This window comes from Homo sapiens, chromosome 14 (genome assembly GCF_000001405.40).
Source record: "Homo sapiens chromosome 14, GRCh38.p14 Primary Assembly".
NCBI classification, from domain to species: Eukaryota; Metazoa; Chordata; class Mammalia; order Primates; family Hominidae; genus Homo; species Homo sapiens.
This window is the reverse complement of record NC_000014.9, coordinates 92624036-92642875: the sequence shown is the minus strand read 5'-3', so window position 1 is coordinate 92642875 and position 18840 is coordinate 92624036. Positions and strand designations below refer to the sequence as shown.

Sequence of the window (18840 nt, the reverse complement as noted above, 5' to 3'; positions counted from 1 at the left end):
CCAATGGCAGCTAAAGAGGTTAGAACGCAGTCAGTGCTCATGGAGCGCTAACACCCAAGGACCAGAACTCCTCCTACTTCCTGGCCCCTGACCATGGCTGCCTGGTGGTGTCTCTTGCATTGCTGCCCCTGATGGGCCCCTCTGAGTGGTGAACAGTGGCCTGGCTTGGGAACCAAGGGGTGTCTTCTTTGATCCCAGGTCTGCCCCTCACTTCCTCTGTGATCTGGTTCTGCCCTCTGGGTCACTGTTTCTTCCATTCCATCAACACTGGTGAACAAGGCACCAATGTTCTGGGCACTGTGCTCAGCCCCATGGAGCACAGTGTCCTATGTATGGCTGAGTTTTACTAAAGACTTGTTGATGAACTGCTTTGTTCATAAATGTGACCTGGCGGCCCCAGGTTATGAGGCTCTGGGGCCTACAACGGCTCCTGAGCAGCTGCGTGAAACACTCTCCCTTTCCCTGTAAGAAATTCTCAGGGCCGGGCGCAGTGGCTCACACCTGTAATTCCAGCACTTTGGGAAGCCAAGGTGGGAGGATCGCTTGAGGCCAGGAGTTTGAGACCAGCCTGGGCAACATGGAGAGACCATGTTAAAATATACGAAATTAACCAGGCATGGTGGTGTGCGCCTATAGTCCCAGCTACTCAGGAGGTGGAGGTGGGAGGATCACCTGAGCCTGGGAAGTTGGGGCTGGGGTAAGCCATGATCATGCCCTGCACTCCAACCTGGGCAACAGAGTGAGACCCTGTTTCAAAAAAAAAAGAAAGAAAGAAAAGAAAAAGAAAAAAAAAATTCTCTGCTCCCAACACACACTGAAAGAGGCAGGTGGCCTGGCCTCTCAGCAGCTACAGACTTGGCATGCTTGGGCTTCCTGAGGGCCAGCAAGGTGAGGCCCTAATTCTAGGTAGGCACCTGCTGATTGCCTCCTTGTAGGGCACTTGGCATCGCCCATACATGGGAAGAGCCCACTAAACGTGAGTTCTTTCTATAATTATGTGAAAGTGCTGGGGTCAGACACACCCTGCCCTCCCTCCCCTTCTTCTTTTCCTCTCCCCTCTTTACCCCTCAGGAACTCGGAAGGGTGGGGTAGGGTGTGCTTAGGGTCAGTTGTTTGGGCACAGGACAGGACCCGCAAGGGCCACACTCAAGTTCATGGTCACATTCATGCTGCTTTTCCATCCGATGAGGGGCCAGGGCTGTGGTGGCTGCCAGGCCCAGCTCTCTGGCTCCCACTCAGAAGGGCCCTGGGGTAAAGCTCGGCTTCTCCCAGGACCACACCAGCCTCTCTGGTCCTGACCAGGCCCTGCTCCCTTAGACCAAACGTGGCTGGGCCTCAGGGCGTCCTGGGCAGCTGATAGAGGCGACTCTTTAGAAACTGGACAATCTCTCTATCACGTGGCTCAGCAGCCTGAGGCAGGGGTGTGGGTGGTCCCATGGGAGCTGGGACTCAGGCTGTCCCTCTGCACAGGCGGCCCCTGGGGCAGTCCTAGGGCCCCAGTTCCTAACGCCCCACCAGCTCCCCTAACCCCTCGGAGAAGACTCACCCAGACCCAGGTTGGCGATGGTCTCAAGGTCCGTGAAGCTGCTGGCCTCAAGGATGGCCTGGGGTAGCCGCAGTGTGAAGGGCAGTAAGTCTCTGTGAAGACACGAGGGGCAGAAGTCATGTCTGGGTCCACCGTGTCCATTCCCAGCCTCCACAAAGGAAGAGCCCTGGCAATCTCTGCTGGCTGCCAGGGTCTCCATACAGCCTGGAAGCTTCCCTGGAGCTGAGGGGCAGACTCTGAGGCAGAAGGAGCATCAAGTCAACTCTAGGTCCTGAGCCAGCACCAGGGACCCAGAGAGGTGGAGATCCTACTCAGGAGTGGCGGGGCGGGGTCACTGCTTCTCCTTGGTTTTCCTGGACTGCTGAGCCCAGGCCAGCTCCTCTAAAGGCATTCTTTAGGGTAAAGTGAGTGGCCCACCCCTCCCTGCCCTCTGACCCTTGCTGGTGCACACTGAGATGTGCAGTGAGCACACAGTCAGGCATCTCCCAGCAAATGCAGTCAGGCAGCCCCCGACGAACACACAGTCAGGCATCTCCCAGCAAATGCAGTCAGGCAGCCCCCGATGAACACACAGTCAGGCATCTCCCAGCAAACGCACAGTCAGGCAGCCTCTGACGAGCACACAGTCAGGCATCTCCCAGCAAACGCACAGTCAGGCAGCCCCCGATGAACACACAGTCAGGCATCTCCCAGCAAACGCACAGTCAGGCAGCCCCCGATGAACACACAGTCAGGCATCTCCCAGCAAACGCACAGTCAGGCAGCCCCCGATGAACACACAGTCAGGCATCTCCCAGCAAACGCACAGTCAGGCAGCCCCCGATGAACACACAGTCAGGCATCTCCCAGCAAACGCACAGTCAGGCAGCCCCCGATGAACACACAGTCAGGCATCTCCCAGCAAATGCACAGTCAGGCAGCCCCCGATGAACACACAGTCAGGCATCTCCCAGCAAACGCACAGTCAGGCAGCCCCCGATGAACACACAGTCAGGCATCTCCCAGCAAACACACAGGCAGCCCCCGATGAACACACAGTCAGGCATCTCCCAGCAAACACACAGTCAGGCAGCCCCCGACGAACACACAGTCAGGCATCTCCCAGCAAACGCACAGTCAGGCAGCCCCCGATGAACACACAGTCAGGCATCTCCCAGCAAACACACAGGCAGCCCCCGATGAACACACAGTCAGGCATCTCCCAGCAAACGCAGTCAGGCAGCCCTCGACGAACACACAGTCAGGCATCTCCCAGCAAACGCAGTCAGGCAGCCCCCGACGAACACACAGTCAGGCAGCCCTCGACGAACACACAGTCAGGCATCTCCCAGCAAACGCACAGTCAGGCAGCCCCCGACGAACACACAGTCAGGCATCTCCCAGCAAACGCACAGTCAGGCAGCCCCCGACGAACGCACAGTCAGGCAGCCTCTGACGAGCACACAGTCAGGCATCTCCCAGCAAACGCACAGTCAGGCAGCCTCTGACGAGCACACAGTCAGGCATCTCCCAGCAAACGCACAGTCAGGCAGGTCCATCTGATGACTTTGGTCACAACAGGCAACTGTTCAGGGTTCCCTCCAGAGATCTCCCAGAAGGAGTTCGGACTAATGGGGAAACAGGGGCCCGGAAAGGAAAAGGGGTGGCCAGCCCACATGGTAGTTGAAGACACTGTGTGCTGAGGCCAGGGCTCCTGACTTTTGGCCTAGGGCTGTTTCACACGCTCAGGAAGGGGAATGTGGCACTGCCAGGGCCCCAGGATGGGTGGTCCCGATTCTGTGTTTCTTCCTAGTGTTTAAGGCCTGGGGACCCCCTTTCCAGCCATGTCTCCCGCTCCTTCCTCATTATCCCACCTGCCCTGTTCTCTGAAGCCATTTCCTCCTCTGTGAAGACAGGAATGGATGAGAGGGTGCCCAGCAGTGGTTATCAAGACCTGGCAGCCACCACTATTTTCTTCACAACCTGTTCTACCCTCCCTTGCTCACACTTCGTCCACCTTCTCCCCAAATCCTGATGCCAGTCACTGAAATCCCATCATCCATCATCTGCTGAGCCTCTCACCATGGCCTCGGCCAGAGCTACCTCCTCCCTGGGGTCTTCATGGCTTTGCTGTCTGCACCTCATCTTCCTGGTGACATGAGGCTGGGAGCCCTGGGTGCTCCTGGAACGGGTCTGGGCTGCCTTCCAGGTCTCCAAAGCCCCGCAGTGCTTAGCACTCACCACGAGGCTCCAAGGCTATTTGCTGAATGGACCCTGCCAAACTCAGGAGCTGAACTGGAGGCATAGCAGAGCAGAGACCGCCTGGGATGGGGCTGGCCCCTGCCAGGGAACCTCTGCTCAGCGATGTTGGCTTCTGTGGCCTCCCAGGTGCCCCCATGGCCCCTTGGGAAGTGCTTCGATGGAGCTGGGACACTTGTGTTTATGGAAGAGTTGGACAGGGCAGGCTGTGGCACAGGTTCTGGGCCCTTTCTCAGGTCTCGGGAGTGGCCTTGGGCTTCTCCACTGTCAAATGGTCTGGGGACCGGCCAGCTGACGTTGGCATCTTCTGTCATTGTTGTGTGATTCTGCTGCATCCTGAGGTCTTCTGATGGCCGGACTGGATGGGCCCTCAGTGCTGCACTCCCATCTCAGGCCCTGCCCCACCACCACTAACCCCAGCTCTAATTTTGAAGGGTGGCAACATTCATCCCAAGTTGCCTCAGTTTACTTCAGTTACGTGGTGGCCTGTCAGTGGGGTTTCCAATGGTTCCTCCGTCGCCGTGTGTATCACAATAGCCAGCAGAGGCTGCTCAGCTCATCTGTGCCCACCCCCTGACTGCCAGGACAGCCTCCTGCCACCTTGTCACTTTACTCAGTCTGCTGCAGTTGCAGCTGCAGTCACACCCCAGACTCGAACCCCAGCATCCAGGGCCTCCCCTGGTCTGGCCTTGCTCTGCCTTTCCGGCTTGCCCCCCCAACATCCGCCCTCCACAGTCCCTTCCCCACACTCGGGGGACTCCTGCTGGCTCCCAAATGATCACGCTTATCTTCCTCTAGTGGGTGTGCCCCACTCATTTCCCACCTCTGAGTTTACGCATAGAGGGAATAGCCCCTCATCCCCAGCACCTACATCTACTTAGATTCTATACATCCTTCGAGGCCACACCATGGACTCTTCTTCCTCCATGACCTGGGGTGCAAGGGTCTCATGCGTCTCTGCTTCTCCACATCCCATCCAATTCACCACTGCACCTCTTCCGTCCAGAGGAAAGCACACACAGGACGTGGGTGTTTGCTGAGCATCTACTATGTGTCAGGTGTGGGGCTAGGTGTTTTGGAGGCTTTAAGTGATATTCTTACTAAATCACAGGCACCTTGAGGGCAGGCATCAGTACCTCTGTTTTACAGAGGACACAGAGGCTCAGGGAGGTTAAGGGACTCACCCAAGACCCCCAGCCAGTAGTAAGTTTCTGACAGAAACACTGAAACATTTAAAAATCTATACCAATATAAAATTTGATTCTCTACAAGGCAAAACTTTCAATCAGTATCACAAACCACTTACTACATTTTTTTTAAGGAAAAGGAGCTATCACTTGTTAAGCCTTATCAGTCACTCACCAAGAGCTTTCCCTGTTATCCCACTTAACCCTTGAAGCAATCCTGTGATCTAAGTGCTATTGTCAACATTTGTTAAAATGTTGGATTTTTTTTAATTAGAAAAGAAACAGATTTACTGTAGCCAAAGTCATACAATACAAAAGTGCTTAAAATGTGCAGGTCCTCCCTTCTCCAGAGGGTCCTGCTGTCTACCCCAGGGGTCCCCAACCCCTGGGCTACAAACTGGTATTAGGCCATGGCCTGTCAGGAACCGAGCTGCACAGCAGGAGGTGAGCAGCGGGCGAGTGAGCAAAGCTTCATCTGTCTTGACAGCTGCTCCCCATCGCTCGCATACAGCCTGAGCTCCGCCTCCTGTCAGATCAGCAGCAGCGTTCCATTCTCATAGAAGCATGAACCCTGCTGTGAACTATGTGAGTGAGGGGTCTAGGTTTTGTGCTTCTTCTGAGACTCTAATGCCTGATGATCTGTCACTGTCTCCCATCACCCCCAGATGGGACCATCTAGTTGCAGGAAAACAAGCTCAGGGCTCCCATTGGTACTACATGATGGTGAGTTGCATAATTATTTCATTATATATTTCAATGTAATAGTGAAAGAAATAAGGTGCACAATAAACGTAATGCGCTTGAATCATCCCGAAACCATCCCCACCCCACCCCTGGCCCGTGGAAAAATTGTCTTCCACGAAAGTGGTCCCTGGTGCCAAAAAGGTTGGGGACTGCTGGTCTACACTCTGGAGAGTAAACTTGCTGGCCCTTCTTTAATGTACACATACGCGTGCCCAAGCACACACGCACACACACCATTTATTTTACTATTTTTTTATATATTTTTAATTTTTTTGAAGAGACAGGGTCACATTAAATTGTCCAGGCCTGTCTTGAACTCCCAGCCTCAAGTGATCCTCCTGCCTCCTTCTCCCAAAGTGCTGGGATTACAGGCATGAGCCACCATGCCTGGCCCACATCATGTATTTTAAAAGTGAAAATGGCATTATGTTCCATCAATTGCTCTGCAGCTTGCTTTCTCTACTGAACAGTAAAGTGATCTATATAGTGAGCAAGTCCATACATGTATACTGGCTTCCTTTTCTGTGCTGCAGAGTATTCCATGGGATAACTGTCATTTATTTTATTTTATTTTTTTGAGATGGAGTCTTGCTCTGTCACCCAGGCTGGAGTACAATGACATGATCTGGGCTCACTGCAACCTCCACCTCCCAGGTCCAAGCAGTTCTCCTGCCTCAGCCACCCAAGTAGCTGGGATTACAGGCGTGTGCCACCACGCCTGGCTAATTTTTGTATTTTTAGTAGAGATGGGTTTTCACCATGTTGACCAGGCTGGTCTTAAACTCCTGACTTCAGGTGATCCACACAGTGGCCTCCCAAAGTGTTGGGATTACAGGCGTGAGCCGCTGTGCCCAGCTACTATTTTTCTTCTTTTGATGGTCATCCAAGCTTTCTTTCTTTCTCTCTCTCTTTCCCTCCCTCTCTCTTTCTTTCTGTCTTCCTCTCTCTCCTCTTTCATCAATGCTAACCATTACAGAGCTTACTAAGTGTCCAGGAGCAGTTTTAAGCACTTTACGTATATTAGCTCTTTAAATCCTCTTACCAGCTCCACAAAGCAGGTACTTTCCTTACACTCATCTCGCAGCTCCGAAGACTGGGGCACAGAGGGACTAAATGGCTTGCCCCATCCCACAGCTTGTAAGTGACAATGCCTGCATCTGAATGGAGGGTTCAGGCTTGTAACTCCTAGACTACTTGTTTTTAGCAAAAAATTATTTCCTAATTGCCACTGGATCCAATTGTGCTGCAAAGAACGAATTGAGCACATCATCTTTCTGCCCTCAAACTAGTATTCCTTTTTTCTTTTTTGAGACAGACTCGCCCTCTATTGCCCAGGCTGGAGTGCAGTGGTGTGATCTCAGCTCACTGCAACCTCCGCCTCCTGGGTTCAAGCGATTCTCCTGCCTCAGTCTCCCGAGTAGCTGGGACTACAGGTGTGCACCACCATGCCCAGCTGATTTTTGTATTTTTTAGTAGAGATGGGCTTTCTCTATGTTGGCCAGGCTGGTCTCAAACTCCTAACCTCAAGTGATCTGCCTGCCTCAGCCTCCCGAAGTGCTGGGATTACAGGTGTGAGCCGCCACGCCCAGCCTCAAGCTAGTATTTCTATTGAATACATTCCTAGATGTGAGTCTGCCGGGCCACAAGGTAGATATATTTGGAGAAATGACAGAATTTACCAAACTGATCCCCTTTTCCGCAGCTTGCTCCTATTTACACTCCATCAATGCCTATGATGGGCTGAGAAGTAAATGGTCCCAAGCTAATGGAGCAGCCTGTACTGGTTCCTCCCAATTCCGTAATAAAAGACAGTAAACACCCCAGTCCTCCAACCTCAGCTTCATTATGTCCTCATGGTGCCCTCCTGCTCTGTGACAAAGGTGGAGCCTGGGCAAATTGCCCAGTTTGGGGTCTGGAGGGCAAATCAGTTTCATGCCTCAGTAAACATTAGCAGGGTGTGAAGATGGGGAAGGCAGGTGTCTGAAACTGGTGCTGCCATGCACGGCTTATTCATCTCCAAATGCCGAGTCCTTAGTTCTTGGAAAATGCCAAGAAAAACCTCCAGATAGGGTGCTGGAGTGGTGGGGCCTCCGCCTGAACACTCACTGACAACAAAAAACCAAAGGGAACTAGACACTTGTGAGGGACTCCACTGGGGCCACCATACCCATTTATACTCTGCAGACTGCCTGGATCAGAATCCTCTAGGGAGCTGCTAGAAATGCAGACTGCTAGGTTTCCAACCAAGAGTCCCTAGCATCAGGTCTGGGGTAGGCTGAGAATCCACCTTTTTTTTTTTTTTTTAGATAGAGTCTCGTTCTGGCACCCAGGCTGGAGTGCAGTGGTGTGATCTCGGCTCACTGCAACCTCTGCCTCCTGGGTTCAAGCAATTCTCCTGCTTCAACCTCCCAAGCAGCTGGAATTACAGGTGACTGCAACCACCCCCAGCTAAAGTTTGTATTTTTAGTAGAGACTGGGGTTTCACCATGTTGTCCAGGCTGGTCTTGAACTCCTGACCTTCAGTGATTCGGCCTCCCAAAGTGCTGGGATTACAGGCGTGAGCCACCACGCCCAGCTGAGAATCCACATTTTTAAACAGCTCCTGAGGGGATCCTGGTGCATGCAGCCTTCGGTGAGAATCACAGGCCCCCAAGGTCAGGGCTATTAAAAAAATATTAAGATTAAGCAACCTTCCTGATGTGTGTGTGTTTCCTTATAAACTATGAAATCCACTAAAAAGCATTCACAAAAATGGGAATTTTTAAAATTGGATTTTTAGCTGGCTGGGTGCAGTGGCTCATGCCTGTAATCTCAGCACTTTGGGAGGCTGAGGTGGGTGGATCACCTGAAGGTCAGGAGTTTGAGACCAGCCTGGCCAACATGGTGAAACCTCAGTCTTTACTAAAAATATAAAAAAAATTAGCAGGGCATGGTGGCAGGTGCCTGTAATCCCAGCTATGTGGGAGGCTGAGGCAGGAGAATTGCTTGAACCCAGGAGGCGGAGGTTGCAGTGAGCCAAGATCATACCATTGCACTCCAGCCTGGGCAACAATAGTGAAACTTCATCTCAAAAAAAAAAAAAAAAAAAAAAAGGGATTTTTAGAATAAATATTCTGACATTTCCCCCACACTCTGGAGGGTCAGCTTGTGAACTTCCCAGGGAGCCAGCACCTCTCTCTGGAGGTCTCTGTTTTAGCTGGTGCTTTCCAAACCTCTGTAACCAGAGAGAAATACTTTTGACATCATGACACAGCATATGTGCATGCACACACACATACAAACACACACACACACACACACACACCACTAAAACAAAAGTTTAGCAAAATGAGACTTATTCCAGCTACATGAGATTCTGATAGTTTCTAGTCCAGTTTACTTTTTCATTAAAAAGAAAAAAGTCATGACCCACTAAACTGATTTGATAACCCCCTCTGAAGTGTTTTCCAACACTAGCAATCAATTCTCCAATTCTCCAGACACCAACTGGGTATACAACAATTCAGCTCAATTCTGACACTAATTACCTGGATGTAGAGTTAGACTCTGCAGACTTAAGGCTTCAGTCCCCCAAGACTGCCCCCACTTCAGATGCAGTTGTCTCAGGCCACCAGCCGGCTTCTGACTGGCCGGCTATATATCAGAGCTTTCCAGGCACAGTGACGAGATTTCTCCTAGGGCAAGGATGCCCAGCCAGCCGTCCCCTCCTCTTGCCATCTCCTCCTCTGGGACAGGAGGGTGGCGGCTTAGTCACAACACTGGGCACATCCTAGGGTGGGGCAGGCCTGAGAGGCTCTTCTCTTCCTTCCTCATTTTGGGTAATGGTGCCCACTTCTTGAGGCTAATGACTGCAGTGCCCAGGGCTGTGCCAGGGATCAGGCCCCATGATCCTTGCAAGGTGCTGAGCACAGCACCTTGGCACCAAGTAAATACTCAGGAAACCATCATGCATGTTCGTCTTCCTGTCGTCAAGGATGGAAACCCCGGCATCTCCACAGTCTCCCCCTGCTCCCTCCCTCAGGGGCTGCCCTCACCCCTCTGGTTCCCCTAGCCATTGCCTGGGGCAGTCACCTCCGCATAGGGCCAGGATGGCTGCAGCAGCCCCTTGCTGGTCTCTGCTCTCCCCTTCCTCCAATCCCACCACCTGCTATGGCCAGGTTGCTCGCTGAAGAGCAGTCTGATATCAGCAACAGGCTCACAGCACCTGCGGAAGGAAGTCCCTGCAATCCCTAGGCACGGCGTTCAAGGCTTTCCAAGCATTTTTACCTCCCACCCATTATGCGGTTCTGCCCATGAAGCCACTCCTGAGGCTGCCCATAGCTTTCCCACTGCCAGGCGTTTGCCCATGCTGTCTCCTCTGCCTTAAGTTCCCTTCCCGCCCTTCCTTGCCTGGCTCGCAACATCACTCTTCCACAAAGAGAGCCACAAGTCTCCCATATGTGGAGGGAGCGGCTGGAGTGGGGGCAGCACAGGGCATCCTCCCAGCCACGGGCCTGGTAGTCAGTCTCCTGGGCAGAAGCAGCTGGGGCTTGCGGGTCACACACACTTGGGTTCCAATTGGCTCAGAACTTGGCTGTGACACCAAGGCAGGTCACACCCCCAGCCTCAGTTTCTTTATCTATAACAGCAATAAGAACATGCTTGATCGTTTTTTGAGCCCTTACTTCATGCCAGGCGCTCTGCTAAACCCCTTCCAAGGATCAGGGAGTCTGATCCTCAGCACAGCCCTGGGGGCTGGCATCACTGAAGCGGTAATACCTTCCCTAAAGCTGTTATTGCTGTAGCGGTTAGAGGGAGCTCTGTGGGCAGTCGCAGCCCAAAGGCTCACTCCACACAGATGCCCCATCAGCAGGAGCCAGTCACGAAATCACTGCTGACACCCCACCCACCCTGATGGCTTTACCAGCTCTACACACCCGTCCCCTAGCCTCAGTGGGGTTTGCCTTAAGTGCTGGCCCTTGGGACCATCAGGGATTGTCCTGGTGCTGGAGCCTCACACATGCCTAGGAGTGGCCCCAGGTTTACTTTATGCTCCAGAGCTGCCGACAGGACCAGACTGAGGTTGGGGTCACCCTGCAGTCGCACCCTCACTGGGCTTCTCCCACTCCCAGTCCTGCTTCCCTACTCCCTCCTGCTTTCTCCTCGAGGGCAAGTCCTGAATCACCCCTTGTATATGAATCTTGTCCCAAAGTCTGCCCCTAGGAGACCCCCAGGTAAGCAACTGGTATCATTCACCTGGAAGAAGTTCTCAAACCCCGGTCTGAGACAGGCTTATTATAAACGCAGATTCCTACTTTGGGAGGCTGAGGTGGGCAGAACATTTGAGGTCAGGAGTTCAAGACCAGCCTGACCAACATGGTGAAACCCTGACTCTACTAAAAATACAAAAAAAATTAGCTGGGGGTAGTGGTGTGTGCCTGTAGTCTCAGCTACTCGGGAGGCTGAGGCGGGAGAATCGCTTGAACTCGGGAGGTGGAGGATGCAGTGAGCCCAGATCACACCACTGCACTCCAGCCTGGTGACAGAGTGAGACTCCAACCCCCACTCCCGCCGCCGCCAAAAAAAAATGCAGATTCCTGTGTCCCACCCCAGACCCACTGAGTCAGGATCTCCTGGGAGGAGTCTGTAGTTTTAACCAGCTATTCGGTGACTGTGGGACCCAGCCAGGTCTGGAAACCCTCTCTAGAGCCCTTACGCCAGTCCACCTAGGCTTTGCATTAGTTTGGAGTGAGCATCTTGAAGCAGAACCTGTCTTTTTTTTATTTCTGGGGGCAGAGGCTGCAGACAGAGCACAGAATGTGCTTCCTGAGTGCTGGATTGAGAGGGATGGGGGCGTCCTGCTCTGGGGAATCTTCACTGTGCAGCTTGGCCCTCTGGGGGCTGCCATGCTGTCATGGGGAATAAGCTCCAGGAACAGGCTCCCAGCCCAGCCCCCCGGGCCCCAAGTGCTCACTGACAAGAGGCTCTGGGAAGGGGAAGGGGCCTGGGTAGGCTTGCTCAGGACCAGGCCTGTGGTTCAGCATGGTGCTGGGGACACATGTCTAACTAAACGCCAGGGCTGACAAGCATCCACTGTAACACCCCTCTGTGCCATGTCCTGGAGGTGACACAAGGCACATGATATGCCTCTGGGACATCACCTGCTGCCTCCAGGACTTAGGCTCTGGAGGAGTCTGTAGGGCAGGATCTTAGAATTGCACAACCACAGAGCTCTAGATCTTTGATGTTCCATCTTGGCTAACATCCCCTTGATGGGGGAGGCAACTGGGGGCCAGGAGAGGTCAGGTGACTTGCCCAGGGTCACAAGCTTCTAAGTGATGGGTCTCCAACTCCCAGCCTGGGACTATCCCTCCCACAGCATCTCACTTCTGAGCTACTCACAAACTCAGGCCTGGGAGCTGACATCCCTCAAAATACAGTGATGCCAGGCTCTGTGCCCTGTGGCCTCCTTAAGGGTACCCTGGGAGTTTGAGGGTAGGCCCAGGGGCACCTGCTTTTCTGGAACATGGAGGAAAGGTTGAACAGTGACAGCAGTGAGCTTGGTGACCATGGCTCCAGAGCTCCCTGGACATAGAGGAAGTCGCTGCTCCAGCAAACCCCTATGGCCCAATTCATGGAAGTAGAACAAGGGCACTGACTGGGTGTGGGGGCAGGGTGCTGTTTCTTTTTTAGACAGGGTCCTGCTTTGTTGCTCAGGCTGGAGTGCAGTGGCACAGTCTCAATTCACTGCAACCTCTGCCTCCTGGGTTCAAGCCGTTCTCCTGCCTCAGCCTCCTGAGTAGCTGGGATTACAGGCATGTGCCACGACACCCGGCTAATTTTTCCATTTTTAGTAGAGTGCGGTTTTACCAAGTTGCCCAGGCTGGTCTTGAGAACTCCTGACGTCAAGTGATCCACCCGCCTCGGCCTCCTAAAGTGCTGGGATTACAGGTGTGAGCCACTGCGCTGGGTCGGTGCTGTCTCTTTACATGTGTTTCTTATTCCCTCCTTCAGCACCAATATAACGATATTATCATTCCCATTTAACAGAAGAGGAAGTTGAGGCTCAGAGAGATTAAATAACAAGCTCAAGTTCTGGGCTTTGCAACTATGCCATCATTTGTTCATTCACAGCACCTAACATGTGCCAAACACTGTTAGGCTTCTTCCACTATGGTTAGGAGCTTGGAACCTGCCTCTCTGAGAGCCTAACGTGTCATAACATACCAAGGGCCAGGAGGCCTCTGATGTTTTGCCTTGTGGGCCTACAGGCATCAGAATTACTGCAGGATGCACACAGTGAGGCCTCTGGAGCAGACAGTGTGGACTTTGGAGATGCGTCTGGTTTGAAACCCTGCCCTGCCATTTATCAGCTGGGCAAGTGACTTCTCTCAGTCTCCGTTTCCTCATCTGTAGAATGGGGATAACAAGAGCATTTACCTCCTGAAATTGTTCGCAAAATTTAAAAAGAGAATGGCTATAAAAGCCCTTAGCACAGTGCCAGGTACCTGGTGTGTCCTTAAGAGGCAGCAGCTGTTAGCATCAACTATTACTGGGGCAGGAAAATAGGGTCTGGAGGCAGGGAACGTAAGGCCAGTTCGCACTTCAGCTATGACAGGAAATATCCTCTCCATAGGGCGCAGGCCAAGTAAATGACTTTGTATCTTTACTTCATACTCTTCATTTACATAGGGTGTACCCCAAGTAACCAATGGAATCCTCTAGAGGGTATTTAAACTCCCCCAGATTCTGTAACGGTGCCCTTGAGGCCCTATGCTTGGGCCTGCTCCCACACTGTGGAGTGTACTTTCATTTTCAGTAAACCCCTTCATTCCTTCCTTGTTTTGCTCGTGCGTTTTGTCTAATTCTTTGTTCAAGATGCCAAGAACCTGGACACCCTCCACTGGTGACATATTTTGGCGAGCCAGCGGGGAGGAAGAGGTAAGTCCAAAGTTTGGGATTCCTTTTTCTCCTTTCTCTTTTTCCTTTCTGCTCCATACAGGGGAATCAATCAATCAATCAATCAATCTCTCTCTCTCTCTCTCTCTCTCTCTCTCTCTCTCTTTTCCTTTCCGACTCAGGACCCTTGGTGGGCAGCGCCTAAATACGAAAGCAACTGCAGGTTTCTGGCCGTGGCCAGTGAAACTAAGGCGTTTCCATGTGGAGAAGCCTAAATGCCACTGCCTGGTTCACTTAAGGGACCAGGGTCTTTTTCATTTTTTTTTCTCTCTCTTTCTTTTTCTGTCTTTCAGTGGCTGTTTCCCAGTAGCTCCTTGGAAGTTGAGGATAATTGGCTGGGGTCACTCCCCAGTGTTGCCTGAAGGCCTAGGAATGAATGGGAATAATTGCCCTGTCCAGAATGGGAAGGGATTCTTTTTTTTAAAAAAAATATTTTCTGAGTGTGGTCCCTGATCCCTACATGTGGCACAGCTCAGAGCAAACTCGCATGTTTCAGGACTTAAACCTTCTTTTCTTATGCTAAATTCTTCCCTTCTCCTATTCAACTGGCTAAGGGCAAAAGAAACCCACCCAGCCTCCAGTTCCTATCATTAAAGTTCACGGAACAGGAAGCATGGGAAAGCGTGGCCTTATCAAATTACAAGGATGCTAAAAGTCAGGGATTACACCCAGGTACCAAAGGAAAGCTCATAGCAGGCTCTGGAGGGAACACATGGAAAGTGGCGCCAGTGCCCACCTAAGGTCAGAGACATCTGACACTCTAAGATTGGAGCCCACAGGAGGATGCTCTGGGGGATCCTGCAGACCTCAACCTCCCCAAAGGGGATGCTCTTGGCAGAGGTTATGAGGTCTAGTACTAAGCCCTCCTTAGAATTTTCTCTTGCAGTTGCAATGCTGCTTGACCCCCAAATTGTTTAGAATCTGGAGTTTACTCTCTACTGGGAAAGTGGGATGGCATTGCATGGATCCCACTTGTGCTGCCGTTGTTAAGAACAAATAGTTCCTCTTCAAAGGGTTTTGGTTCCTGGTTCTTTGTTCTATTCTAAAAGGTAATCTTACCCATTCATCTATTAGCCCTCCCTATCTCCACTGTGCCTAAACACACCCAAGATATACTGTACCTGTTCTCCCTGTCAAACGCCCACCCTCGCCTCCTTTGATGATGTCAACAGTAGCCAATCGGAATTAGCCTAGATTGTGTGGTCCGACCCCAGCCCACAGGGGGAGGACACAGGAACAGGGTCTGCTTCAGGGATAAAAACTCCTGGTCTCCTTTGTTTTGCAAGCTCTCCCTTGCCTCTGCTTTGCATGCAGGAAGCGCCCTTCTATAGAAGTAAATTGCCTTGCTGAGAAAACTTTTGCCTGAATGCTGGGTTTCACTTCACAGCACTGACAATTTGTTTCTAACAATCTGGGGCCTTGCCCAGGATTCCCATTCTCCTCTGGGGAAGGGGTCTCTGGTCATCTCCCAGGGGGAGACGTGACCCACTGCCTTGCTGACGTGGCCTCAAGGGCTAGAGATTGGGACCCCACCCACTGTGACGAATAAACCTGGACTCTCGGCAACGTTGGAAGGAAAGACTTGCCTACAAATACCGTGGCGACCAGGTAACTTTGCGCACAAGACCAAAGTAAGAAAAGCTGTGGGGGCGGTGAAGTATTTCATTGGTGGTCGGGATATCCTGGAGGTTGAAAGTGTGTGTGAATGATCATAGGCACCACTGCTTGCGGTGCTGCTTGTGTGAATGGTGATAGGCATTACTGCTGTCCGGGGTGAGTGGGTCCTGTCTGTGGTTCTGTGGTTCTGTGGTCACCTCATCTTCATATGGCTTAGGGCAGATCCTGCCATGGGGCTTATACCTGCATGCCAATGCTAAGAGGGACCTAATTTCCTGTGAAGGAAGTGGCCAGATAGGATGAAGTGAATGGAAAGGAGTGCAAGAAACCTCCATTAATGGGGGTTGAGCCTCTAGAGAAAAGGGAAGGCAAGAGAACTCTAGTAAGAGAGATTGGGCCACACACACAGTCAAGGGGGCATCCAAAACTTCCAAGATGGGAAACACTCCTAGTACAACAGGGAAAGGTAAGGACGGGGATAGTCAGATCCCCTCTGATAGTCCTCTAGGTCTCATGCTGAAATATTAGAAGGAGAATGAGAGGAATAGGCACAAGAAAAAGCAACAGATGATAAAATATTGTTGTTTCATTTGGGCCAAGGAACCCATCCGCAAACCTGCCATCTTCTTGCCAAAATATGGATCAGATGAGGATTGGGTCTGTTAACTTTTAACTCAGTATGTGAATGACAAAAGTCTGGTCTTGCGGGAAGAGACTATGCCCTCTTCTGGAGAAAACAACCTGTTCTCCTCTTTCCCCTAAAGAATACAGGGGAAGGCGTAGTAAAACCAACCCCTAGGCAGAGGGATCCCAACTCCTGGAACCCTCTAAACCACCTTTCCCCATTTAATTCCCCCCAACTTGACCTGTCCCCTCCACAGGCAGCTGCTGCTACCCTGGACTCGGTCCCAGATCCTTCTGCTACTCCTATTATTCCTCCCCCTTATACTCTGACTCTTGGGAATTACCACCACCCCATGAGTCTGTTCCTTGTCAGCCTAAGTATCCTTCCCTAAAGGGACTACCATGTAAGAAGGATATTCAAAATCTTCCTTTCCCCTCTGCCTCTAAGGAATCAGCTCCAACTCTCTTCCCTTTGAGAGAGGTGTCCCAGGCAGGAGGAGCTACTGGCTTTGTAAATGCTCCCTTGACTAGTTCAGAGGTTCAAGGTTTAAAGAAAGAACTTAAGCCACTGCTAGATGACCCATATGGGGTAGCAGATCAATTCCTAGGCCCCCAGTTATATACCTGGGTCGAATTAATGTCCATCCTGGGTATCCTCTTCTCAGGGGAAGAAAGGGGGATGATTCACAGGGCTGCTATGACAATTTGGGAATGTGAACATTCTCCTGGCCAAAATGTTCCTGCAGCAGACCAGAAATTCCCAGCCCAAGATCCTCAATGGGATAATAACAATGCAGTCTGCTGGGAAAATATGAAAGATCTTAGGGAAATGATAATTAAAGGAATTCGGGAGTCAGTGCCCCATGCTCAGAATCTTTCCCGAACATTTGACATACAACAGGAAAAAGATGAAGGGCCCATGAAATTTCTAGAAAGACTAAGGGAACAAATAAGGAAATATGCAGATTTGGATCCAGAAGACCCTCTTGGGCAAGGAATATTAAAGCTACATTTTGTCACAAATAGCTGGCCAGATATAGCAAAGAAGTTGCAGAAACTAGAAAAACAAAAAACCGGTCCAGAGAGGAACCCCTAGGAGAAGCCCAAAAAGTATATGTGAGGAGAGATTAAGAAAAGCAAAAACAAAAAATGAAACTTATGCTATCCACCTTCCAACAGACGGCTTCAAGCCATATGCTTCTAAACAGAGACTCCAGGGGACCAGGAATTATAAAGGGTCCAAACCCAAGCCTCCAACTAGCGGACCCAGACCCTCAGCTACCAGGCCCTCTAAAGAGTATGGGGGAGCAAGGTCAAATAATCCTGGAAATGAGAGAGTGGGAGGACAGGATAGGTGCTTCAAATATGGAAGAGCAGGCCACTTCAAAAGAGAATGCCCTGAGTTGGGGAAGGAAAAAGAAACTGTCCTGCTCATGGCATAATAGTAGACCACCTCACCCATTGAGTTGAAGCCATTCCCCTCCCCGCAACAGCTAATAATGTGGTTAAAGTATTACTAGAGAAGATAATACCTCAGTTCGGGCCAGTAGAAAACACTGACTCAGACAACAGGAATCACTTTACCGCAAATATCATTAAAGGGCTTACTCAAACTTTAGGAATCAAATGGGAGTATCATGACCCCTGGCATCCATCCTCATCAGGAAGAATAGAAAGGATGAATCAGACTTTAAAAAATCATCTAAGTTAATTTCAGAAAGTCCATTACCCTGGACTAAGTGTCTCCCCATCGCTCTACTCAGGATCCGAACTGCCCCTCAAACAGATGTTGGCCTATCCCCTTATGAAATGCTCTATAGGTTACCATACTTAAGTTCCACTAGTGACAGTCCCACTTTTGAGACCAAAGATCAGTTCCTTAGGAATTATATACTTGGTCTGTCTTCTACCTTATCTTCCCTTAGGACTAAAGGTCTCTTAGCGCAAACGCTGCCTCTTGAGTTTCCAGTCCATCAGCACCGGCCCGGAGACTACGGCCTCAATAAGAGCTGGAAAGAAGAGAAACTTGAACCGTCCTGGGAGGGACCATATCTAGTGCTCCTAACAACTGAAACTGCAGTCTGAACTGCCGAGAAAGGATGGACCCATCACACCCGAGTCAAGAAAGCACCGCCCCCTCCAGCGTCATGGGCCATAGTCCCAGGGGAAAATCCTACCAAACTAAAGCTAAGGAAAGTTTAATTCTCTTTCATCTATTCTGTTACTCCTTCTTCTTTCCTTGTGCTCTTGCTAGCCACCTCATTATTAACGTAACTAGATCAGACTCACCCCAGACCATTACCTTCGATGCTTGTTTAGTTATACCTTGTGGGGATCTCCAAAGCCAGAGACAGCTTGCAGCAGCAGAGAAATATCTCTGCCCCTCCGAAGCAGATGCTTCTACCTTGTTTAGCTTTCCGTTTTGTCATACTTGGGAATATGTCGTTTGGACCACTCAACGTCAAGATTGGGTCCCCTCACAGGATTTCCCGCTAGCGGTTCTAAAGCCCTATATCCATTTTACTAAAGGAATTGCCCCTCCCAATTGTCGATATAACCAATGTAACCCGGTGCAAATTTCCATCACCATCCCAACTCTCCAAGATTCCTCCCCCACCCTAAACCGTTTCTATGGTATGGGAGCAGATGTAAGAGGGAAAGACCCCATAGGATTCTTCGAGTTGCACCTCAGTACATCTCCATCCCTCATATCTCCACGTCTATCCTCTTCTACACCTGCTAACCAGACCATTGTCTCTTCATCTAATGACAAAAGCAAAGTAGCTATTGTAGAGGTTAAAAATTTAAAACAAACACTGACAATTGAAACAGGATACAAAGAAACAAATGCCTGGATGGAATGGATTGAATATTCCGTTCGCAGTCTAAACAAAAGCGACTGTTACGCTTGTGCGCAAGGTAGGCCAGAGGCCCAAGTCGTCCCCT

The 18840-nt window shown here is 51.0% G+C and overlaps 1 protein-coding gene across 2 annotated transcripts in view, besides 1 other annotated feature; it reads right to left on the bottom strand.

Annotated features, from left to right (window-relative positions):
* RIN3 (Ras and Rab interactor 3) overlaps positions 1-18840 on the bottom strand; it is a 175214-nt gene that overhangs the window by 46119 nt on the left and 110255 nt on the right. For both annotated transcript variants that reach the window (NM_024832.5, NM_001319987.2), the window contains one exon: positions 1547-1638. In NM_024832.5, the coding sequence (NP_079108.3) occupies positions 1547-1638 (92 nt within the window). The remainder of the gene's footprint in view (positions 1-1546; positions 1639-18840) is intronic.
* Positions 17320-18519: an enhancer, noted in NCBI's record as "MED14-independent group 3 enhancer chr14:93090702-93091901 (GRCh37/hg19 assembly coordinates)". NCBI's record gives its function as "activates an origin of replication core promoter dependent on BRD2, BRD4, P300/CBP and CDK7 cofactors, and independent of MED14, by STARR-seq in HCT116 cells {active_cell/tissue: HCT116}" and the evidence as "EXISTENCE:reporter gene assay evidence [ECO:0000049][PMID:35650434]".